The sequence below is a fragment of the Homo sapiens genome, chromosome 13, assembly GCF_000001405.40.
Source record: "Homo sapiens chromosome 13, GRCh38.p14 Primary Assembly".
In the NCBI taxonomy this organism is placed as follows: Eukaryota; Metazoa; Chordata; class Mammalia; order Primates; family Hominidae; genus Homo; species Homo sapiens.
The window spans coordinates 31,719,973-31,745,904 of record NC_000013.11 but is presented as its reverse complement, the minus strand read 5'-3'; the positions used below and the strand labels follow the sequence as shown (position 1 = coordinate 31,745,904).

The window sequence follows — 25,932 nt, the reverse complement described above, 5'->3', positions numbered from 1 at the left end:
ACTTCACGACTCCAGATCTCTGGTGTCTGTATGTTCACCCATATCCAATCTTTGAAAACGGACAGTCTGAAGGACAAAGTCTACCTTCTTTGCTGAACTTCTGGATCAAGGTCATCCATTGTGAGAAAACCCTGAATATGCTCTCACATCATACTCTTCCACAGACACAGAAAAAACTGATACTATGCTTTTTCATGAAAACATTTGGGTTGTAGGAGAGAAAGCTCTCCATAGAACATGAATTCAGAAAAGGCCACTGTTGCGAGAGGACGTAAAACCACTTGTTCTGCAGGGAGCCGGGACTGCAGAAACAATCGCAACTGGGTTCAATGCCAGTTTGAGAAAGGGGCTTAGTGCAGCCCAACTGGCAGAGGCTGGGATCTGCATGAAGCCAAGCATTGGGACTCAGCCCCTGACAAAGCATGGGGTATGGAATAACTCTGATCGCCCAAGATTGTGATTTAAATAATGCTTGCTCATGGCCAGCAAGGAAAGAAGTGGTGATACCACTGCAAATGGGCATGAGATTTGGAACTGGTTCACCCACAGGCAAAACCTCTGAGATGCGACAGTTCAGACCTGAACACTCCCTGGGCTATGTGGAAGTACTTCTGAGACTACTTTGAGGAGCTGTGTGCAGGAGAAACATTCTTCCAACTTTATGAAAATGTCCAGGGCTCCGCAAAAAGGGGGAATTCATACCTGGGAAAGAGATGATAGAGCTTTTTTTTTTTTTAGATGGAGTCTGACTCTGTCACCCAGGCTGGAGTATGGTGGCACAATCTTGGCTCACTGCAACTTCCACCTCCTGGGTTCAAGCGATTCTTCTGCCTTAGCCTCCCAAGTAGCTGGGACTACAGGCACGCACCACCACGTCTGGCTAATTTTTTGTATTTTTAGTAGAGACAGGGTTTCACCATGTTGGCCAGGCTTGTCTCAAACTTCTGACCTCAGGCGATCTGCCCACCTCAGCCTCCCAAAGTGCTGGTATTACAGGTGTGAGTCACCACGCCCAGCTGATAGAGCTTTAAAGACTATTTTAAACTCTGCGTGATTAAAATTCTCAAAGAACTAATGGAAGGAATATATCATGAAATAAGAATGAAAGTTTATAAAACCCCAAACAGACAGCTTTAAACGCAGTTGGAATGATCCAAATAAAAAATATAGTCACTGAAAAAAAAAACAAAAACAAACCTAGCAATTGAATAGAAAATAAACTGGAATCAGAGAAAAGGAGAATTAGTTAAAATTATCTTTCCTTCATCAGACACATTCTATTAACACTGAATTTCCTTGGGCAAATAAAATAGCCATTATGCCACTCGAGAATAATATGGCACAGAACAGTTGGTGATCTGTAGAGGGGCATGGCTAATGGAGATCTGTACCATCATAGCAGAAACCCTTTGGAGAGATATGTTGCAGAATTTATAACATTTTTTAGAATTTTAGAAAGTTAATGCACATGCTATGAACTATATAGTTTCCTACTGACCTGGGGCAAAGTTCCCTAAGCAAACACATGAACATTTTTCTATAGCACAGTGTATGAAATTTTACAATAAGTGCATAAAGAATCTAAATAGCTCCTGGCCAATTCTGACCAGATTTTGTAGGCAAAGGTGATCAACTCAGTTTTCTGAGCTTTCTGGATTTTAGAATTGTAGACAAATCATTGGACCTAGAAAAAGAGAGCACACCAGTATTGAAGTAATACAGAGATACAATATTCATTTGGTGGTATTTGGGCATGTATTCTAGCAAGCAACAGACATGGTGACCACTGGTCGGGCCAGGAGACTGTGGGATAGAGACAAATAATAGAAAGAAGGCAAAGGCCAAAAAAGGGAGACAAAGAAGATCCAGGAAGCCCCTGGGGAGGGAGCTCGGCAAAGACAGGAGGTGATTAGAGACAGGAATACTTAAGGGGGCGAATCTAGGGATAGATGTATTCCAAGGTGGAAATGAAAAGCCAGATGTGACCAATCAGGATGGAGCAGGTGTGAGAGTTACCGAGAATGGGATGTAGCCAGGACAAAGGCAGAGTTGGAGGATATGGGAACTCAGAGAGCAAGAGAGCTGAAGAGCAGGCCCAAGGTGAGCAGAAGGGAGATTTCAGAGGTGAGGACAGCAAGAAGATAGGGATGGGGGTAGGAGGGCGAGACATGAAAATGGAGAAAAGACAGGCCGGGAGAGCATCTGAGACAGATGCCTGCAGAGGCAGGGAGGAGGGGAGAATAAATAAAGATGGGAAGGAGAGGCGAGAGGCTTGAACAGGAGCAAGGGGGCCCGAGTCAGAACAGTGGGAAGGGGGAGGATGGGAAAGGAGGACTAGAACTTTATCAATCACATTGAACATGTTGTAAAGGCTTTTTACTTTGTAATAAAGTTAAATTTTCAATCGCAATTCTTTAATTTTTTTTTTTTTAATTTTGAGACAGAGTCTCGCTCTGTCGCCCAGGCTGGAGTACAGTGGCGCAGTCTCGGCTCACTGCAACCTCCGCCTCTCAGGTTCAAGCAATCTTCTTGCCTCAGCCTCCCGAGTAGCTGGGACCACAGGTGTGCACCACCATGCCTGCCTGATTTTTGTATTTTTAATAGAGATGGGATTTCACCATGTTTTCCAGGCTGGTCTTGAATTCCTGACTTCAGTGATCTGCTTGCCTCCCAAAGTGCTAGGATTACAGGTGTGAGCCACTGCGTATGGCCTCAATCTCAATTCTTTTTACATCTTAAAACACTCAAAAGTCTGTTTATCACATGACTGTTGAATCAGCTGTTTTATTTTCGCTTCGGAGCACTTTTCTGATAACAACATTGACCTTCACTGCAAACTTAATTTTTTAAAATACATGCAAAAACCTGGAAGTACGGGTGAGTAAAGCATATGAGAGGTTTATTTTTTGTTTTTAGATAATTAGGCCTCTAATGCCACTACTACTTCACATGTGAAACAAGCACACTCATTTTACCCAAAGAATGTTGTTATATGTTTACCAAATAAATAAACCAAGCCATTCTGGGCTCTTAAATAGATATGTACTGCTAAAAATTAGTTGCATTTTTTGTTGCATAACTATTTATACAAAATCATTCTTTGCTAATTGAATTTTATTTGGTTTACTATATTCCAGAATAAAAATGTGCCATTTTTCGATACCAACCTATTAGAAAGCAGCATCCCAATTTTGCCTCTAAAATTCACATGGCAGGCAATTTTGTCACTTCAAGTGAGAGGCCTTAAAACTCTTTGATTACATCTGGTCATATTTATTCACAGTAAGATGAACACACGAGTAAGCATCTGTTGTGAGATGTATTTAGCTGGCGTCTTCAGAGATAACACATCTCTAAAGGTTTTAACTCCCATGTTCCCAATCTTTTTCCTCCTCCCTCACAGTGGGCTTCATTCAGCCCGCAAGCAGGTCAGTCTTCGGGATGACTGGCCTGAAACATAATTGATTTTCACAACTATCCACAGCATGAATATAAAGTTGTGAAATTAAAATTCAGATGGAAAACCTTTTCTCAAGTCAGAGTGGCCAAGTGAAACTGACATCCGTAAGAAAGGACCATGCCAGGCATGCCTTGAGTCTGGCCACTAGGGGGCAGTCAAACACTGCTCCCCTCAAAATACTGTTCGGGCCCGGTTTTGGTTAACCTATTTTGGAGGTTAAGCAAATTATTTAAGTAGCAATTGGTAGTTGCCAAGTAGCAGCCTCAATGCTTCATGCTTTTACTTTCTTACATAAGCCCATGTTTTTGATTTGTAATATGGTTCCTAATTTGTCCATTAAGAAATGTTTTTTAAAAGTTTAAAGTTATGTTTAATAACTTTATTTTAGAGATGTTTACTCTTAGAGACAGATACTGTTTTTAGATCTGCCTGTGGCTTTGGAGTTCCCAGTCTAATTACGTTAACGCAAGATAGTTACTAACAATTACATGAATTTTATGGACATATTTCAACAGGTTGAAATTCCACAAAACACAATTGGTAGTTACCAAGTAGCAGTCTCAATACTTCATGCTTTTAATTTCCTACATAAGCCCATGTTTTTGATATGTAATATGGTTCCTAATTTGTCCATTAAGAAATGTTTTTTAAAAAGTAGTTTGAAGCTGGTTAACAGAGATACACAGTGAATAAATTAATGATAAAACACACGTAATAATAATAAGATACATTATGCATAGTTGTCTGTTAGTGCCTGTAGCTTAAGGCAATCACTCATTCCTTAGGCACTCCAGAGTGATGATGGTCAGAGAAGAAAAGACGATCACATAATTTCTAATTTTATGTTTTGTTTAGATCTGGCCTAAGAGTCTATCACAAATATTATTTAAATTAAAAAGACAACCTTTACTCTTAGGCAACTCTAAATGAGCTTTCTTTGGTTACTATGAAAAGCCTTACCGTTTTAATTGTCCACAATTTTGTTGTGAAAAAGAAAAGAGTTTTACTAATTATAGAGCAAATTCTATTATTTTTATAAGTAGGAATAAAATGTCAAAGCATTGATTAATGTGTCTTGCTTTGAAAAGAAATCATTTTAAACATAAAGGTTTAAATTAGTAGTCAAAAGTAATATAAAATTAGAAAATAAAAATTTCCAGGATTATAATCAATAAATATTTGTTAGGTTGGTACTAGGAGTTTGAAATATGGCTTTTACTTAGAAATAAAATCAAACAAAAATTATTAATTGAACTTTTTTTTAGTTTAAAGGGTGACTTTACATTATGGTAAATCACAAAATGTTATTTTAGTAATAGATGTTTTTCATCTCATAAACGGTTTAAGCAAAATCAATTAAATGCATTATGTATAAAAGCAAAAGTATAGTAAAATTGGTTAAACTGTGGTTATAGTCCCGTACATTAAAGAACTTTTTAAGGGCACAGATGAGCTCTATGACATGTCTTAAGAACCTGCTTTGTAGCTGTATATTCTTAAAATTGTATAAAATTGAATATTCAAATGTGGATAGAACATGAACTTCTGAAGTAGGACCTTAAATATAGAAATAGACTGCTTGTTGCAACTGTACTGCATGCAAGGTGAGTTCATATATTGTTTCTTCTTAGTTAATCCTTAGCTTTTCATGTAAGAGATATTAAAATATAAAATAAAAGTCATGCTAGGTGCATGGAGATATAGATTTTAAATATTTGTAGTAAAGTTTTAGTATTATTTTAAATTCAAAATAAAATTTAGATATTTTAAGCCTTTTAAAAATCTTTTGTTTGTTAGAAGTTTTAAAATAATTCCTCATAAGTATTGCATTTTATTTCAAGATTTAAAATATTCACTTGGAATTCACCTAATAAAACTGAATATTTAAAAAACCTAAAACGAATTTCTCAGAAAATAAAAATAATTTCAAATTTTAACCTTTATTCTCAGAGGTTTATCAAAATTCTTTAAGAAAAAATACAAATTAAAATAGAAACATTTTTGAATAATAATAAACCCCAGCAAATCTTGGGTGTGGTTAATAGGTTGTTTATGAATGTATAGGCTGACAACGTATCTTTTTATTTAAAAACAAGTGAAGATTTAGGTTTTATTTTTTGGTGAGCTTTACAATGAAAATGGTACTGACTTGAAACTTAAGAGTTTGACTGAAATAAAAATTTCCACAAATTAAAAACAAAAGAAAATTATCTAAGTAAATGCACTTGTATAGACTTTTAATAACTTTATTTTAGAGAGGTTTACTCTTAGAGACAGATACTGTTTTTTAGATCTGCCTGTGGCTTTGGAGTTCCCAGTTTAATTATGTTCACGCAAGATAGTTACTAATAATTACTTGAATTTTATGGGCATATTTCAACAGGTTGAAATTCCACAAAACACAATTTTAGTTTATTAATTTGTCACACTTTTCAGAACAAATGCCAAAAATGTTTTCTATGTTTTAATTGATATAGTCAACATTGTTTTTTGACATATTTTATCTACAGCTTTAATAACATACAAAGGCTTGTTTCCATGAAAAATTTGTTGCATCTAAAAATTACTAGGCTGTGTGGGACTACAAGCAATGAAAGATAATGACAAATACCAGGCAAATTTGATGTCTGTTTTTTTTTTAAACACCCCAATATATTTATTACAACTGCCATAGAACTACATAGAAATGTATTTTTTGGGAATTGCACTCATTTAAAACGAGAAAGTAGCAACCTTACCTTTGACATTGATCAGAACGATGAAATGAAGTAGAAAGAACATTGTAATCAATCTGAGGCTGAAGAGATGTTTAAAAACCAGAAAAACAATCATAGGTTTACAGCAATTGAGTTATTAGACGTATCCTCTTATACCTCAGCAGGAGTTCTGATGTAGTAAGTTCAGTGCCTCCCATGTTCTGAGCATGCTCACAGCTAGAACCTCACTGGCATGAAGGGAGATGGATTCTTGTCACTATGCAGCCTGTCTTTTTTGTTCTTTCTTTTTTGTTTCTTTTAGTTTAAATCTACAGTTGTGTTCTTGATCACTAATTCATTATGGTGTGTAAAAGAAGGTATAATAGGACTTTGGTATTATCTGATAAGAAATATTTTTTAATCACTTAAAAATTTTTTTCCTCCAAAGCATGTACAATTTGCTCTGTTTAAATCCAAACATCGAAGTTCTCAAATATGAAGGATATAGGCTTACACTGAATAGGCTATGAAACCCTTTACAATTATATTTTCATGCAATAAACAAATGTAAAAAACTACTTATTGACAGATACACAAAGAACACCCACTTCTATTCAAATGTACCTAAATGTTTTCAAATGACATATGAAAAGATAATTTAAATATATGGCATTGTGTTAAATAATTACTGTAAAACATTCATACAATATTTTCACTTCACATACTTCCCGCATAATCATATTCCTTTTTCTTGAAGTGAATAATTTTATTCTTGCTTCCAGCTCTGTATTGCACACCTATTAGAAAACACTAATTATAATTTAGTTCTTACATCCTGAAAGCAGCTTTCTCAACAGCATAGTTAGTACAAGTTAAAAGTATAAAAATTGACTTTTGGTTGTAGGATTCTGTTGATCCTAGTGTAATCATTAAGACTTCTCCAAAAAGATGTAGAATTTCCATGTCTGAGTTTATATTTTACTAACAGGGAAATATCTATCTAGAATACAGTTTGTAGTTCTGATTTGAAGAGAAGATTTTGTGACTGAACGATGCAGATTCTCTTATATGTTGTCGTTAACTGTGTCCTAACAACACTGAAAAAAACTACCTTGTGGTGACTATTATCGTCACAAATCATAAAACACGGGGTTTTCCTTGTTCTTTCTTTCATTCTAGCCTTTGAGAGAACAAGGATTCAAACAGAATGTACAATAAAAAATACTTTATTTATCACATAATGTATTTAGTTCTTTTCTCTTTTTAAGAAGTGAGTTAAGTTCTCTAAGACACCTCCCAGACATATTTATATGTGGTCTCATCTGATCTTTCAAATCAAAAGAAAAAGCAACAGAGAGAATAAAGATGAAAAGAAATACTTCAGGATCTTTTCTTACATTTCAAGCATCTTTTTTTCCCTCACTAACCTCAAGGTCTTTTTAGGTAAAAATTGCCTTATTTCACTTAAAGGAATGATTAGTTTTTCTTACGTTTTGTGTTTTGCTGTCGAGATGATGGATGCTAGTTTCTGGTACTGAAATTTTGAGCATGAGTTTTTAAGTGCAATTAAATACCATCATAAGTCTATTTGAAGTATAAATATATTTTCTATGAAAATGTAATTTTTGGAGAAATAAGAAATGTCAAGATGTCAAAGAAATTAGTTAAGATTTATTCATGATATCGAGCCCTAGCAATAGATTTACATTGCCAAAAAGTTGAATCGTTATTCCTTTCTGTTAGGCTTTTCAATGTTAATCTTTGAAATGTATTAACACAAACTTTCAGAAATCAATAATTATAAATAATAGGAACATCTTTGGCTCACTGGTTTTTAAAGGTAGAGCATGCAAGCTTTGAAATACCATTTCATTTAATATGTTTTAACTTTGACTTATCTGGTGTGAATATCCAGCCTTTTGCACCGAAACTGAAATGATTGACATGTACACAGGGATATAATGTATGTGTTTAAATAAGAGTGAATGAATGTAGTCTATTCTTAAAGCCACAGTTGGTAAGGAGGTTCCAAGGAGTGCTTCATGCAGAGCTGAGATGAAAGACTTGTGCAAACTGATTCTCACTCGATAGTAACTTCGAATCTGCGCAAGTGTTTTTTATTGATCCTTGCCTGAATCAGCTCATCCCTTCATTCCAGTCACCTGTTGGTAGGACCCATACTTTTAGCAGTAATACTATAAAACCTCATGTGAATATATTATTTACTATATAGCACAATTCAATATAATTCTGGCTAATTGAAGGGAATTTATTTACTGAAAGTACTAATTACCTAGTTCTATGTGATGGGGGGAGGGCACAGACATTTTCTTAGCTTCTACTGTAATTTTTGTGTACATCTTGGAAACCATTGTTAAATATAAAATTCTTAAATCAAGAACATAATTTACTTAAAAATGGTCAGAAACCCTAATTTTAACACATTTTCATAACTGTGTGATTGTTTTTTATATAGGCTATAATTCATTACCTTGCCAAATTAATGTTTTCAATTAAGATATTTACTAAACACTTACTCTACTTAATGAGAGTATAGCCTTGTAAACATTTCTCACTTCTATAGCCTTTTCACTTTATATAGCCTCTTATTCACAAAACCTGATCCATTAGCAGTTAGTATCACTTTCTGTTTTGGGGAAAACAAGACATAGTGATATTCAAAGAACAAATTATATGAATAGATAATATCTGTCCTCAAAAAGATAAATTATAGAATAATAAACATCAGAATCCCAAGCTCATGATAGCAGGCCAATAATGTCAATGCTCACTTGAATAGCCTCCTTATCATAAATCAAGTTATAGTAAAATCTGAGGAATTCAGCCATACTAGCTAAGTATTTGTGATTATAGCTATATATTAGCCTTTATGTGTGAGTTTATAGCATTGTCATTATTCAGTAAGATTTATTTGCACCCTGTGGGCACAGCAAACCTAACAATCACATGATCTCATCAGCATAGTCAACACAGTGTGTCCATCAGTTGAGCAAACTAGTTCTGGCACAGGGTCCATTTTGATCAAGAAAGTCTAAATGAAGGTTTCTTTTTTTTTCTTTTTTTAGACAGGGTCTTGTGCAGTGGTGCTATCGTTGCTCACTGCAGCCTCAACCTCCCAGGCCCAAACAATCCTTCTACCTCAGCCTCCTGAGTAGCTGAGATCACAGGTGTATGTGACCACATCCACTAATTTTTTATTTTCATTTTTTGTAGACGTGGGGTCTCCCTATGTTGCCCAGTCTGGTCTTGAACTCCTGGGCTCAAGCAGTCCTCCCACCTCAGCCTCCCAAAGTGTTGGGATTATAAACATAAGCCGCCATGCCTGGGCTTAAGTGTTCTAACTTTGATGTTCTAAATTTTAAATAATTTAAGTCATGCTCCATTTGTCTGGGAATTTCAACTCTTGGCAAGCTCAATTATTAGGAGCATAGCCACGAACCCAGAGTAAAAAATAACCCTGAGACATCCACTACTGGCAGTATGGTAGATTAGATACACTGAAAAGACTTCTTACTTGAAAATACTGTAACAGCTCCTGCATAAAAAAATTTTGTTGCATTTCTGCAGTCTTCAAAATGAGGGGAATCGAGTCTAAAGGGAAAATACATGACAAAAATAAGAACCAAATGCTGAAATGGCAATGGAGCAGAGTGAACAAATGTAAAAGGCAAGATTCGTTTGCAAAAAATGCAGATATCAGCACTACAACTTTTAGGCCTTGAGTCAGTGTCCAAATCTGAGAGCTAAGCCAAAGCTTCCACGAAGGATCAGGCTAAAGACATGAAAGGCGGTGTCCTGTAGCACCATTGCAAAAGAAATGCACACTGTATAAGAAAAATATTCTTAATTGAAACCCCTAGATTTTATCCAGGTTAAAATCAACTAAATATTAGCTCATTATCAAAGATCAACCGAGGACATATGGGTAAAAGTTGACAGAAACAAAGCAATAAATTTAGAACCCCATGTACTTCAAATATCGAAATGATCAGTTATGGAATGTAAAATATTTAAAGACTGCAATCACAAGAATAATTAAGGAATAAGAAACTATCAAAAAGCAACAAAGAGAATTTTCAGAAATGAAAAATATGTTCCTAAAATTTTAAAACTCAGTGGATAGGGTAAAGAGCTGTCAAAACATAGTTGAGAAAATAAGTTGTAAATGGAAGTAAGGGAGTGAAGAAACTTCCCAGAAGGCAGCATAGATAAACAGGGAATGAAAAAAAAAATGAAAGAAGAGACTAGGAGGAAAGCAGGAAAAATTTCAACATACAGCTAATTATAGTCCCCATAGGAGAAACTAGTGAGAAAGAAGAGGAGATAATATCTCAGGAGATAATTATTGAGAATTTTCTAGAACTGATAAAATACAAGAATTTATAGATATAGCAAGGACAACATCTACTAGGCAGGGCAAATAAAATGAATCCATATTTAGACATTCAGTTTTGAAATTGTATAATATAAAAGAAACCAGAGGGAAAAGACAGACCACCTACAAAGGGAAAATTAGAATGTTAGTAGACTTGCCAACAACAGCAATGGAAGCCAGAAGAAGTGTAGTAATGCTCACAGTTCTGAGAAAAAATTACTGACAACTAAAGATTGTGCACCCAACAAAACGATCTTTTAACAGGAGTGTAAAATAAAGTCATGCACAAGATATATGAATACTAAGAAGTTAGGTAAGAACCAAAATGAAAAATGCAGACCAAAAGTTTGATAGCATTTCAGGGAAGGGAACAATCTGAGTTGTGAAGGTCATTAGGTGAAACCTCAGCTCTGTCCATCTTGATTGATGGATTGAGAGATTAGGAAATAGTGTCAGCTATTCTCCCGGTGGTATCAAGGCACACACGCCAAAGTAAGTCTAAAGGGTAGAAGGAAGTAAAACAGATTCTTGCTTCTGTGTGAAACTGAGAGCATCCTCGGGTATCTGTAATCCCAGCTACTCGGGAGGCTGAGGCAGGAGACTCACTTGAACTCAGGAGGCGGAGGTTGCAGTGACCCAAGATTGCGGGCCAGACCAAAAACTGGGTGGATACTCAAAAAGCATATTAGAGATATTATGGTATATTAGATTATTGTTCCCAATTATTCCACTCCCCGTAATAAGAGTATGTGCCCCCACATTTTGCCTTGTGCCTTGGCAGGGCCTCTCAGTAGGTAGTATATTTTTCTACTCCATTGACTTTTGCCTTGGCCATGAGACTTGTTTTCACCAACTGAATGTGACTAGATGTGACATATGCCACCTGCCAGCAGAGGTTTGTTTGTTTTTTGAGAGGGAGTCTCGCTCTGTCGCCCAGGCTGGAGTGCAGTGGCGCGATCTCCGCTCACTGCAAGCTCTGCCTCCCGGGTTCATGCCATTCTCCTGCCTCCGCCTCCCGAGTAGCTGGGACTACAGGCGCCTGCCACCACGCCTGGCTAATTTTTTTTTGTATTTTTTTTTTTTTTTTAGTAGATATAGGGTTTCACCATGTTAGCCAGGATGGTCTCGATCTCCTGACCTCGTGATCCACCCGCCTCAGCCTCCCAAAGTGCTGGGATTACAGGCGTGAGCTCAGCAAAGGTTTTATGTGTGCTTTTGTGGTATGGCATGGTCATTGGTACTCCCCCATTCCTTAGCCAGAATGAGAGTCACATGGGGCGTGCTTGGACCCAAGTTCAGCCAGGCCCAGAAGAGCCACGCAACAGCCACAGACCTATAGGCAAGGCATACATGTTTATTGTGTAAGCCACTGAAACTTTGACTTTATTGTTGCTGCTGTGTTTGCCACAATAAAAATTAACTCAGACAGATAAATCTGGAAATCATCAGTTTAATGCTTAGTTTTACAAGGCTAAAACTGATGTGATTGGCCTAGAGGCATGTGCTGTGTATACTGAATAAATGAATACACAAATTTATTTTTTCTTTGCAGAGCTTTTCTTCTTTTGGAATGTGTTCTACATTATATACTGTTCCCAAGTTTCTTATAGTGAATTATTCAAAGATTACTTCCAGAGCTGGCATTCCTTTTATTATTCACAAAACGATTCCTGAACATTAACTAAATTCCTTTGTCTTTCTGAAATTCTGTGTAATGTGACTGAACCTCAATATGCATTTAGTCAACAGGTGCTATTTTCTAAGGCATATGTATCATGAACTTTTAGTGCCTTCATTATAGAACTTCAGGGAACATAAAATAAATTAGAACATTATTGGGGGCTGTTTAAATTTCTAAGTCTGTGTATTAAGTTTACCCTGAATAAATGTATTTTTATTTATAGAGTGCCAGCCATATATATTGCTGGGTAATGAGCTTTGATTTAAAGTGAAAAGTCACAAATCATTTTTATCTAAATTCATTTTGAATTCATTATGCCAGCTCTACATTTGATAGGATTATAAAACACAGACCTGGTTGAGCCCACAGGGGCCCTCATCTGAGCTCAAACACCCACAATGACCATTCCTCTCTCTCTCTTCTCCTATCTCGCCTTTTGCGTGAGTGTAAACATTGATCTGTGCTCCGTTTCTCGATTACCTCATTTCCTTCGTTCTGACAGCTGCCTGAAGCATGCAGAAAAGTTTTCATCCCACTAACTCTTGGGAATTTTTTTTTCAGATAAAAAGATTTTCTTTATTAATGACCCCAAGTGTATTTCTTTAGATACAGGAGTTTTAAATCAAATACTTAGGAGAAAACAAGTCAAGATTGCATTATTTTGCAACTCTTTACCAGCAAGGTATTGCAAAGTGAAACAGCTTAGAAAAGAGAGTGGAACAGAAAGAGAACGAGGGAGGGAAGATAAAGAAAAGGGAATTAAGTTGATTGAGTGAATTTTTTTTTTTAATTCTTGGGAGCTATGAAGCCCTATGAGCACAGCTCATTTCTTTAGATTATTTTTCAAAAGTGTACAAAATGGAACCAAAACAGAGAATTCTTCAAGTATCTAAAGAGGTGCAACGTTAAAAGCTGCGATTACCAGTAGCAAGTGTTCCAGCCTTCAGTTGCCAGCCACTTCCTCCTCCTATTCCCAAGAGTTAGCAGGATAAAAACATCTTCCCCAGGATGCCCTAAACAGTTCATTTTGGATGAAAGAATTAGTGAGCAGAAGCAAAGCCCCAACTATTCAATACACAGATGAATCTCTGAATATCCAAGTTAACTCTGCTCCTCTTTGGGCAATCCTGGGACAGTCAGGATGCATATTTTTATTTCATTTATTGATGGGTTCATTCATGAAATTTGGAGTTTACATTTAAGATGAAATATGAGGGGGTGTGGCATATGTAGAAGGCTGGAGTGAAGGGGTCTGTGGGAGGGCATGGCGTGCAAGTAGAAGTGGAGCATGTGAAGTACCTTTTAAGCCATGGGAAGAAATGTAGACTTCACGTGGTGGGAAAGGGAGAGTAGTTGCAAAGCTCGAATCAAGGAGGGGAGAATAGGTTGGCGTGACCCATGGAGAGGGTGTGCTGGAGAGGACAGACCCTGAAGGCAGGAAGACCTGTAAGATGTATTGCATTCATCTAAGAAGGCACGAACCAACAGCGTGGCAGGGGGAATGAGGAGAGGAAACAGATGTGAGATGTATTTTGGAGGAAGAATTGATGGGATGATGAGTCATGGGAGGAAGGGGGAGAGAGAGAAGTCTCCGGTGATTCTCAGGTCTCTGGATTGAGCCACTGAATAACAGACTTACGAAGAGGAGCATTTGATCAGGATGATGTTGAGTATTTCCATGTGCTGAGCCTGAGAAACTTGAGGAACATCCAGACAGCAATGTCTAGCCAGCAGGTGGAAACAGACTTCAGAATGCAGGAAAGAGGTGCAGTCTGGGAAACAAGGAGTTTCACTTGCAAAAATATTTCCTTAAAATACTTTAAGAATAAAGGGATTGAAAAGCTAAAGAGAAATGAATTAAAATTTTAAAATCATTCAGGTGTTACATAGTAGGAGATATTCATTAAAAGTCATTAAAATTGTAAGTCACTCAAGGTACTAGGGTCACATACGGTTAATATCAGATCACTATCTAATGAGCATTTATTATGTGGCTAGCATACACAGGCTTCAACTGGGTAAACCCAAGGAAAAGAAGCGGAAAAGAAAAATCACCCCTCACAGCCAGCAGTGTTATTTTTCCATTTAAGACGATTAACAACCAGTTACTTATGAAGTCATACAATAATTATATGCTGAAAATTAGCTGGATCCTTCAGTACAATACTATGGATTTCAAAATGGGTATTTAAGGCATACAGAGTTAACAAATGAATGGGGAAAATAAAACACTAAACTCTGTGAAAATGTTGAAATGGTCGTATATTTTCATGGGATCTAGAGTAGCTCATTTCAATCAAATTGATGAGGTCAAATAACTAGACTTTTTCAAGCACAGAGCCAGAGAAAGACTGAGATTCTCTATTAAATCACAGAGCCACCTCCAAGGCAGATGCATGCAAGGATAATTGCTCTAAGGCATTATGTTAGGAGCCCCCCGGGCTCTACCAAGGACCAAGGGATCTGAAAGGGATTGAGGAAGGCAGCCGAGACAGGGGCTGAGGTACTGGAGAGAGAAATGATTTCACTGGCTGGTGCCAACAGTGGCCTGAAGTTTTTATATGTATATGTGTGTGTGTGTGTGTGTGTGTATATGTGTGTATATATATATATATATAAAATGGAGCACAGCTAGCTGTCTAGAATCTGAACTTCCTTTGCTTTCCACAAGCCTCCTGAGGCTGGAGATACTTCCCTCTATTCTGTACATCTCCAAGTCTATCCATGATGTTCACTTAGCCATATTTAACATACATATTATTCATTATTATATTATAGATATAAAATATATATGTCATCTAATATGATATGACTTAGGAAGATCGGACTGGCAGGGGGACACGTCGTTACTGCTGTGTGCCTAACAACACAGTATATGAAAGGTGGATGTGCTGAGAGAAAGAACCTACGCAGTAGAGCAATCAGTGACAAACACTTATAAGGTGAACATGTACAGTGGAGAACAGTTAAGAGGAATAAACTGGGGGCCAGGTGCGGTGGCTCATGCCTGTAGTCCCAGCACTTTGGGAGGCTGAGGCCAGGAGTTCAAGGCCAGCCTGTCCAAATGGTGAAACTCCATCTCTACCTAAAAACACACACACACACACACACACACACACACACACACACACACACACACACACACACACACAAATTAGCTGGGCCTGGTGGTGCACCTGTGATCTCAGCTACTTGGGAGGCTGACACACGAGAATTGCTTGAATCCATGAGGTGGAGGTTGCAGTGAGCCAAGATTGCGCCACTGCACTCCAGCCCGGGCAACATAGCGAGACCCTGTCTAAAAAAATAAACACATAAAAATAAATTTAAAAAATAAAAATAAAAATAAACTAAAACAATGAGAGATTTCCAAATGTCATAGCCACACTTTGAAGAACACCATGAAAGTGGTCGGAGAATTCCAGACTTGTATCTATTATTTTCTTTTCTTCTTAAGGAAGATCAGAAAGTGAGAAGGCTTCTCTTCCAAGAGTATGACAATAATAGTTACAGTTTTTATTCACCTCACACCTGGCAGTGTTATTTTTCCATTTGACGTGATTAACAACCAGTTACTTAGGAAGTCATGCAACATATCAACAACCATATCAGGCAGGATCACATTCAGATATTGTTAACAGAACAGCAGCCCATGGTTCAGTAATAAATACCAGTTTTCGCAGGAATGGCTTGGTTGCTGGTTTTTGGGGAGGGCCAAAGCTTACATCATCATCGGTTTCTATGACATATATGTGAGCTTGGTGCTTAATAAATATTTACCGAGGGGGCAGTTTGGCTTTACTAAAGCAGAGTTCTTCTATCAGTTTCTTATTTTTGTGTTGTTCAATTTTACCTTGAGATATTTGCTGTTGAAGTGTTTCATAAACAAATCTCTTGAGGTAACTATATAAAGAATTGTTTGGAATTATAATTCTTATATAGCTGTTGCCAAGTTCAGTGATATATGAAGCTTTTAGTGGATATAGTGGATGCATATAGGAACCCTCCTGAAAAACTGAAACATTATATGCAATTCTGTGTTTCTTAGGAAACAGATTTTTAATCTATAAGACTTTCCTAGGACAAATGCTAGATGAGATTATGATTTGAACCGGGTCTTTGTAAAATACTAGCTTTCTATGAGAAGAGAATTTTAACTCATTCTTTTAGCACTCAATATAAACAAAAGAAACAAAATATGTGTTGTAGAAAAATGAAAATATTTAAACAAGTTATTGAGTTATAGCTTATATACAATAAAATCACTAATTTTATGTTTACATTTACATAAATTTGAGTTCCTACATTTCAGTCCATAATAAATTTTGAGTTATTTTTTGTTCATGATATGTGAAAAGAGTCAAGGTCTTGCATATGGCTGTCCAATTGCTCCAGCAACAGCTGTTAAAAAGATTATCATTTCCCTATTGAATTACCCTGAAAACTCTGCTAAAAATTAATTGAGCATACATTTGTGGGTCTATTTCTGTACTTTCTATTTTATTCTATTGAGTTCACAGTCTATCCTTTTGCTAATACCACACTGTCTTAACTACTGTAGAATTGTAATAAGTCTTCAAAACACATTCTCAACTTTGTTCTTTTTCAAAGTTGTTTATGCTATTCTAGGTGCTTTGCATTTCCACAGGATGAGCTTGTCAATTTCTACATTTGCTGGTATTGTGATTGGGGTTGTGTGGAATCTAGAACTAAATTTGGGGAGAATTTACTTCTTAACAATATAGGATCTTCTGATTCATAAACATGGTATTAGTGGCTATGTATTTAGGTCCTCTTTAATTTCTTTCAGCCATGAAAGTTTCAGCCATGAAAGTAGTTTGCAGTGTACAAATCTTGCACATATTTGGTTAAAATCATCCTTCATTCTTTTAGATATTATAGGAAATTATACTTTTTAAAATAAAATTTCATTTCAAAATCCCAAGATTTTGGGAGCCTGAGGCAGGCGGATGGCCAGGAGTTTGAGACCAGCCTCTGCAACACAGTGAGACCCTGTGTCTACAAAAAAAAATTAGCCAGGTGCGGTGGTGCATGCCTGTAGTCCTAGCTACTTGGGAGGCTGAGGTGGGAGGATCACTTGAGCCCAGGAATTCGAGGCTGTAGTAAACCATGCTCATGCCACTGCACTCCAGCGTGGGCAAGAGAGCAAGACCCTATCTTTAAAAAAATAATTTGCAATTTTTGTTTCTGGCATGTATATGAAATACAATTGTTTTTGCATATTGACTTCATATACAGAAACCTTGCTAAACCTACTTGCTAATTCTGGTAGCTTTTTTGTAAACTACTTAGAATTTTCTTCATAGATTATCATGCCATCTGTCAATAAAGACAGTTACACTGATTTCCCAATCTGTATGCCTTTTGTATGTTTTTTCTTGCCTTTTTGCACACGTTGGGACCTTCAGTACAATGTTGAATAGAAGTGATGAGAGTGGACATCCTTGACTGTTCCTGATCTTAGGGGGAAGCATGCAGTCTTTTACCACTCAGTATAATGTAAATGTTTTTTCTAGATTCCCTTGATCAGATTGAGGAGGTTTTCTTCCATTCTTAGTTTGCTAGGAGTTTTGTGTTGTTTTTTTTTTTTTTAAATCATGAATGAGTGTTGGATTTTGTCACATTGTTTTATACATCTGTTTAAATATCTTATGCTTCGTTCTTAGCATCTAAAAGTTTTTCATAGACTATCTCAGTCTTTCTCCCAAACCTGATAGTTGTTTTTGTTTTTTTAATATCACTGCTTTAAAAATGATATTGCCCTGTTTTCTTTCTTTATTTTCAATAAGAAGCCTTTGATTATTCTTATTTTTGATTTCCAGTTTGTAATGTGGGTCTTTACCCACTTCTAGTTCTTTTTAAGATTTTCTCTTCACAATTGGTTTTAAGTAATTTGATTATAAAATGTCCTTTATTTAAAAAAAAAATGTTTCCTGTGCCTGGAGTTTGTTGAGCTTCTTGGATCTGTTGGTGTTCAGTTCTTACCACATTTATAAAATTACAGTAATTATTTCTTCAAATATATTGATTTAAGGAGTTGTAGCACTCTTATAAGTAGACAGGAAGAAAAAATTGAACAGCACTATCAAAATCCCAACGTTCAGGGACATTTTGAAGGCTAGATGAAAGGCTGTGGAACAGGTGCATTTTAGGATTATGGAGAAGGAATTGAATACATTAAATGGTGCATATCATGGAGAACTTTAATTTTTGGCATGAAGCTTTGTTTGGATTTGATGCAACAAATGACAAGAAGCCATTTGTGGTCACCGAGTAAGAGAAGAATGGAGGAAACTGTTTTAGTAAGACAGATTGGGCAGTGTATGGAAAATGGAACAGAGAAAGAAGAGACTGGAGGATGAAATAGTAATTTGGAAAAAGGTAACATTAGATATATATCTCACACAAAACACAAAAATAAATTCCCAATGGATTAGAGATCTAAAACTAAAAGGTGAAACCTTACAGTTGTACCTCAGTATCCACAGAGGACTGGCCCCTGTAGATAACAAAAACCACAGATGTTCAAGTCCTTGACATAAAATGGCTTAGTGTTTGCATTTAACTTATGCATTTCCTCCTGCCTACAGTCATGTGTCTCTTTTTGGTGGGGATACATTCTGAGAAATGCATTGTTCAGCAATTTCATCATTGTGTGAACATCACAGAGTGTACTTACACCAACCTAGATGACAGCGCCTACTACACACCTACACGTGTATATTCTATTGATTATAAGCAAATCACTGCTCCAACCCCTACTCAAAGAAAGAGGATTTCACAAGGGCATGGACATGAGGAGGCAGGGATCCTGGTGGGTGTGGGTATGCACCCTAGAGGGTGCCTGTTACAATAGGCAAGCCTGTTGCCATCAACTCAAGCAGGAGCTTGAAAATAAGTAACATCTATTTCTAAGTAAAATAAGTGTGACATTTTTGCTGCCACACTAGTGTGGCTGTTAACATACACACACACCACCAGTACTTTCTCTTGGGAATCCTTGCTGTTGCTGCTACCTCATTCCCCACTGAAATGCTGGTTGGTATCCTGGTCTTCTAGTCAAAGTTGTTGGGCCACAGTTTTACTTTTCTACCGTGGCTCTACTAGAATGAGGAGTGACTGCTTAGTGGTTCTGAAGCAGAATTTAGATCTTCCTGTGCTAGGAGTAGGAAAGTTCCATACTACAATGACAGAGCACACTACTCTCAGAGGTCTTCTCCTTCCTGGCCCTGCATGTCTTCTTTTGTTTCTTAAGTTAGGCCCTTTCTGCCTTCTCCCCTCATGTGACTGGCCCCTTGAATCAGTTAGATTTAAGTTCACCGGATGAGCCCCCAAATAACGATGTAAAATAAAAATGCACCATTTTTTTCACGTAAAATAATTCAGGAAAGATGGCTGTCCATGGCTGACCTGGTAGCTCCACTATGTCAGCATAGCCCAGAGGAGAAAGTGAGGCAGAGTCTTTTATTGTAGGAAGCAATATGCCTAACTAAGAGGCAGGGCTGAGTGGCTGTGAAGGAATGGGAGAAGAGACGCTGCAATGGTCCACTTGCCACCTGTGAAATGCCCTTCATTAGCTTTCAGGCCTTGGGAAATGCTTTCTAGAATTTTGTTTGTTTATTTGAGACTGAGTCTTGCTGTGTCACCCTGGTTGGAATGCAGTGGCGCGATGTTGGCTCACTGCAGCTTCCACCTCCTGGGTTTGAACGATTCTCCTGACTCAGCCTCCCTAGTAGCTGAGATTACAGGCACGTGCCACTACACCTGGCTAATTTTTGTGTTTTTAGTAGAGATGGGGTTTCACCATGTTGACCAGGCTGACCCCAAACTCCTGACCTCAAGTGATCCACCCACCTCAGCCTCCCGAAGTGCTGGAATTATAGGCATAAGCCACCGCACCTGGCCTCTAGGATTTTTTTTATATTATAATTTGTGTGTGTTTGTTTTACTATTATATTCATGCAAAGACTGTATCTTCATCATTTCATCCTGAATTCTTAAGGCAGTCCTTGTCATATATAAATGTATAACATGAGGAATTACATGAACTGAACCACTGTTGCTTCTGCACACGGTCTTTTGTAGTACTGGAAATTACAGTCCCTAAAATTAGTGAGACAGAGCATTTCTAACGAGGAAAGGGTTTGCCATGCTTGTGAAATGAGCTTGTTTCCTTCAGAAAGGGACTCTGTGATCAAGGAGGCTGGCAGCCCACCCCGTGGCCTGTAGAGTCCCCATGACTGTGAAGGAAGGGGTGCAGAGAGACATCAGAGATGGGCTGTACCTTTCTAGTTCACTCTCACTCTTGTACCTGTGGGCCCTACTTGCACCCTGGAGAGTTGAAATTCTTCCAGTGAGTTGACCCATATTTCCAGAATCCACTGCTTTTGCAACTTTGTACCTCATTCTTGCTTTCCTGAGCCTTTTAAAGGGAGGTTTGTAGGAGGCAAATCAGGCTCCGCCAGCTGAGCTCTGTTTTATGACTGAGCTCTTACATTATAGAATTTTGGTGGGAGTTTCCTTGTCCAAAAATCTTGCCAAAACTCCAAATTCTTTTCTTTTTTTTTTTAGAATTTTTTTTTTTAAAATTTTACTTTAATTTCTGGGATACATTTGCAGAATATGCAGGTTTGTCACATAGGTATACATGTGCCATGGTGGTTTGCTGCATCTATCAACCCGTCATCTAGGTTTTAAGCCCCTCATGCATTAGGTATTTATCCTAATGCTCTCCCTCCCTTTGCCCCCAACCCCCTGACAGGCGCTGGTGTGTGATATTCCCCTCCTGTGTCCATGTGTTCTCACTGTTCAACTCCCACTTATGAGTGAGAACATGCAGTGTTTGGTTTTCTGTCCCTGCGTTAGTTTGCTGAGAATGATGGCTTCCAGCTTCATCCATGTCCTTGAAAAGGACATGAACTCATTCTTTTTTATGGCTGCATTGTATTCCATGGTGTATATGTGCCACATTTTCTTTATCCAGTCTCTCATTGATGGGCATTTGGGTTGGTTCCAAGTCTTTGCTATTGTAAATCGTGTTGCAATAAACATACAGGTGCATGCGTCTTTATAGTAGAATATTTATAATCCTTTGTGTATATATCCAGTAATGGGATTGCTGGGTCAAATGGTATTTCTGGTTCTAGATCCTTGAGGAATCGCCACACTATCTTCCACAATGGTTGAACTAATTTACACTCCTACCAACAGTGTAAAACTGTTCCTATATCTCCACATCCTCGCCAGCATCTGTTGTTTCCTGACTTTTTAATGATCGTCATTCTAACTGGTGTGAGATGGTATCTCATTGTGGTTTTGATTTGCATTTCTCTAATGACCAGTGACGATGAGCTTTTTTTCACATGTTTGTTGGCCGCATAAATGTCTTCTTTTGAGAAGTGTCTGTTCATATCATTTACCTATCTTTTGATGGCATTGCTTTTTTTTCTAGTAAATTTGCAGAACTCCAAATTCTTAATGTGTAACGGAGTACTGAAATAGTTCCATTCCCAACCATAGTATCTGTACAGTTTCTTTCCATGTAGTCTTAGTTGCCCATTGATTTTCATTATAAAACCAAAATGTCTTTCTCTGAAAACCACTTGGGCATAAGACATAAGGAAAATCATATTTCATGATACAGTAAAGCCTTCAAAAGAGTTTATATAAAGAAAGATTTTACAGTTCAATAAAATAATTTCACAAAATGCAAAAGAATTTAAGAGAATATGAAGAAATCTATACTAAATTTTATCTCACTTTAGCTTAAAAGTCTAAATGATAAATAATGAGAAACTTATTGAACACAATTGCTAAATAAGAATATTACAGGTTTATAAAGCTCTTTCTCCAATATTCTAAAGCAGGATATATTTCATCCTTCTTTGCTTTGACTTTTCTCACACATACTTCTGAAGCCACTGCTATCAGAAAACTGGAGGGGTCAGTAGGGAAGAAGGTAACAAAACTGATCTGGTTTTGAAGCTGGAAACCATCATTCTAAGCAAACTATCACAAGGACAGAAAACCAAACACCGCATATTCTCACTCATAGGTGGGAACTGAACAATGAGAACACTTGGACACAGGGTGGGGAACATCACACACTGGGGTCTGTCATGGGGTAGGGGGAGGGCGGATGGATAGCATTAGGAGATATACCTAATGTAAATGACGAGTTAATGGGTGCAGCATACCAACATGGCACCCATTGTATATATATGTAACAAATCTGCAGGTTGTGCACATGTGCCCCAGAACTTAAAGTATAATAATAATAAAAAAGAAAACTGACCTGGTTTTTAAGGAATTAAGAGAGAAAAACAGTGTCAACAATTCAGAAAGTCCTGGTCATTGAATAAATCAGAAAACCCCATTTGCTGAAATAAGAACTGACAGAAGTTGATATATCTTCAGAGTATGTATTCAGCTAGCAATAGATTGAACTAGGTCTGCAACTTAAAAACTCTTTGTTCACTAATTTTAATAAATTGAGTCTTTCTGAAATTTATAACAGGCACCAATTATATATTTCATCTATAATTGAGCATTTTTCATTTCATGTATCTTTTAAGAGTATAAAGAGGTTGGCATGCCATAAAAAAAGTAGCCCCTGATTATATTCATTTTTTTCAGTACATGAAACTGTGAACTCAGGACACGACTTCATACTGCAGAATATTTGTTGGACCAGCATCTTGAATTACTTTGGATTTGGCAAACCTCCAGCTCATGGGCCAAATTTGGCCCTCAGCCCTTGTTCATCTGATTCTTGGCAAATATCCCGTATATGAGTGTGGGCCTGGCAAGAGCTTCTGCAGCCCCCAGTGTGATTTTATCACCGGAATGATTCCATCTCAGGAAGAGTCTGTGAAGGTTTAATGATGTGCTGTGGAGAACTGTGATTTGCATATTTTAGCTCGATAAAATGTCGAATGGAGGTGGCTTCATCTTCCAGGCAATAACACCTCACACACCACAGCTTTAGTAAATAGCAGTTAACCCCGGATGCCCTCTAATTAAAAAAACACTAGGCTTCTCCCATTCTTTTGATTTCATCCTTCTTTCTCCTCTTTCTCCTTTTTAGCTCTGTGCTGGCCACAGATGAAACCCTTAATGCATATTTGCTGATTGAGTGAACGGGGGATTTTTCCTTCATCCATCTTTCTCTTTCCCCTGAGTGCTTCTCTTCCCCTTCTATTGCTTTTCTCTTTTTCACTTTCTTTCTCTCTTGCTGTTTCCCTCATTGAAATGAACACAATATAGAACTCACATAGATTTAGATTCAAATAGATTTAGATTGATAAAATAATTAAAAACTATTTCCTTGAAGGAATCTTAGGAGTCATGTAGTTCATGAGTAAATTAATAAATATGTTTTGTAGTTCTCAGAAAACAAAAAAAGGAAAAGCTGATTTTTTAACCTTGATGGATTTCTCTCTTTAACATTAGAAGCCCTCTATATGATTCTAAGCATAATCATATAAATCAATAATAGATATGTCATAACTAAAGTATACTTAATTATGATTAGAAAAAGTATGTTTTCTTAAAATATTCTTTCTCCAAGATGTCATTACTGGAGGTCATATTCTAACTTGAGATGGTGCATTTTGCTACATAGGGGACTGGAATTCCGTTGGGATATCTTTGCAAATTGGGTAACAGTGATGACTGGGTTGGGGGCTAAGATTGAGAATGGATGGGTCCCCCAAAATAAGTATTGATGGAGAGAAACCACTGTTAGGAAGATCTGGAGGGCCAGTTTTTGAGTTACCATATTCCTGTGTATGCAGCTCTCAAAGAAGTGAGCATAAAATAGTTAAACATTAAAATTTGGAAGCAAAACAATAGGTGCTTGGGTGGGTGAGGACTGTGTCAGAGTGCATGCCACAGTCAGAGAATCCATGACTTCCGAAGGTCTGGAAGAGCTTTGCAGGCTCTTTGAAGCTGCTTTCTTTCTCCAAGTTCCAGAGTAGCTGAAACAGTCCAGGATTCTACTTCCTCCCAGAGGAGCGATTGGTTATACGTACAGAAAAGATGTTTCTGAAGAACTTGGAGCCTGCTCTGGGAAGAATATGCACTGGAGAACAAACACTGCAGGAGAATCTTCCATCTCAATGTTCACATGGATCTGTGCAAGAGCAAATTTGAAATAGAGATGAACCAGAGCTAGAGAAATGCAGCAGATGAATAATGTAGGTATGCTTAAAATCAGACCACCAAGGTGTTACAGACATGGAAATGGAGAAACAGCTATTCTAGCCCAGGTCAGTGCGATAAGAAACCATGATGTGAGAGCCAGTGAATAAAAGAAGAAAGGAATCTGAGCCAGAACGGGAGAGAGGGGGTTTCCTGAGCCAGTGCCTGAGTGACCATTAGGGAGGATGTGTTAGTCTGTTTTTGCTTTGCTGTAGAAGAATCCCTGAGGCTGGGTAATTTATAAAGAAAAGAAGTTTCATTGGTTCATGGTTCTGCAGGCTGTACAGGAAGCATGGTGGCAGTGTCTGCTCCTGGCGAGGCCTCAGGAAGCTTCCACTCATGGTGGAAGGTGAAGGGGGAGAAAGCGGGAGCAAGAGAAAAAGGAGGAGGTGCCAGGCGCTTTTAAACAACCAGCTCTTGTGTGAACTGCCAGAGCGAGAACTCACCCATTGCCATGGGGATGGCACCAAGCCGTTCATGGGAGATCCAACCCCATGACCTAAACACCTCCCACCAGACCCCACCTCCAACACTGGGGATCACATTTTAACATGAGATTTGGAGCGGACTGACATCCAAACGGTATCAGTGGATTTCTGGAAACATGGAAACATTTTCTGTATTTCTTTATCCTCCTACCCTGCCTCTTCTTTCAGTCTCAGATCTCATAAGACAGGGGTAAAGAGACCTCCGAAAAGAAAGCTTTAGAGAGACCTAGACTGTTATTTTCAGTTAAGGGAGGATTTGTCCTAGGGCTATCTTTTCACAGCTAGAATCGGCCCATCTGTATTATCCTAAACAAAATGCACTTTTCTCTCTGAGTAAGTCTAACAATAACTTTTAAACCTTCATTTTTTTCCTCTCTATTTCTCTAGCCATATTTCCTTTTTGTGTGTATTTTCTATTCAGGTTATTTATCTATTTACCTACTGATGTCTTAATGTTTCTCTTATTGGTTATTATTCTCTTTTTTTTCATTTAAAGTTTCCTGAATTAAGAAAAAAAATCATGATTAACAGATGTTCCCTCCATTATAAGCATACGGTACTATTCCTTAGTTCCTGGAGAAAATTACTCTCTCCTAGAGAATCAATACATCTTTCAAATATTATTACATATGTGACTTCAAGCTACAAAGCAGAAATTCAAACCTTGCAATATGTATATGTCAGAAGAAATTTCCTATAATTGTGTTTATTTATCTCTGGTTTATCTTGGCAATCAATGTTCTATGTTTACTCATATAAGATACCATAAATAGTCAACATCTGAATTCTACCAGACAAAACAAAATGTTTGCTTTAAATATTAGACATGTACTTATTTATTTAATCTTGAATCTTATTTTGAATAATTTGAAAATCATCTAGTTCTTGAAACTTATTCTACCAAACTAAAATCCTTAGCTGTCTCTTTGAGGAAGTTACTTTATCTTGCTGGTTATTATGTCTCAGATGAAAAGAGGTAGATTTTTAGA

At 37.4% G+C, this 25,932-nt stretch overlaps 1 protein-coding gene across 3 annotated transcripts in view; it reads right to left on the bottom strand.

Annotated features, from left to right (window-relative positions):
• Window positions 1–6,379, bottom strand: part of RXFP2 (relaxin family peptide receptor 2) — a 63,864-nt gene extending 57,485 nt beyond the window's left edge. For all 3 annotated transcript variants that reach the window (NM_130806.5, NM_001166058.2, XM_017020389.2), the window contains exon 1: window positions 6,199–6,379. In NM_130806.5, coding sequence (NP_570718.1) covers window positions 6,199–6,292 — 94 coding nt within the window. In that variant the 5' untranslated portion in view covers window positions 6,293–6,379. The remainder of the gene's footprint in view (window positions 1–6,198) is intronic.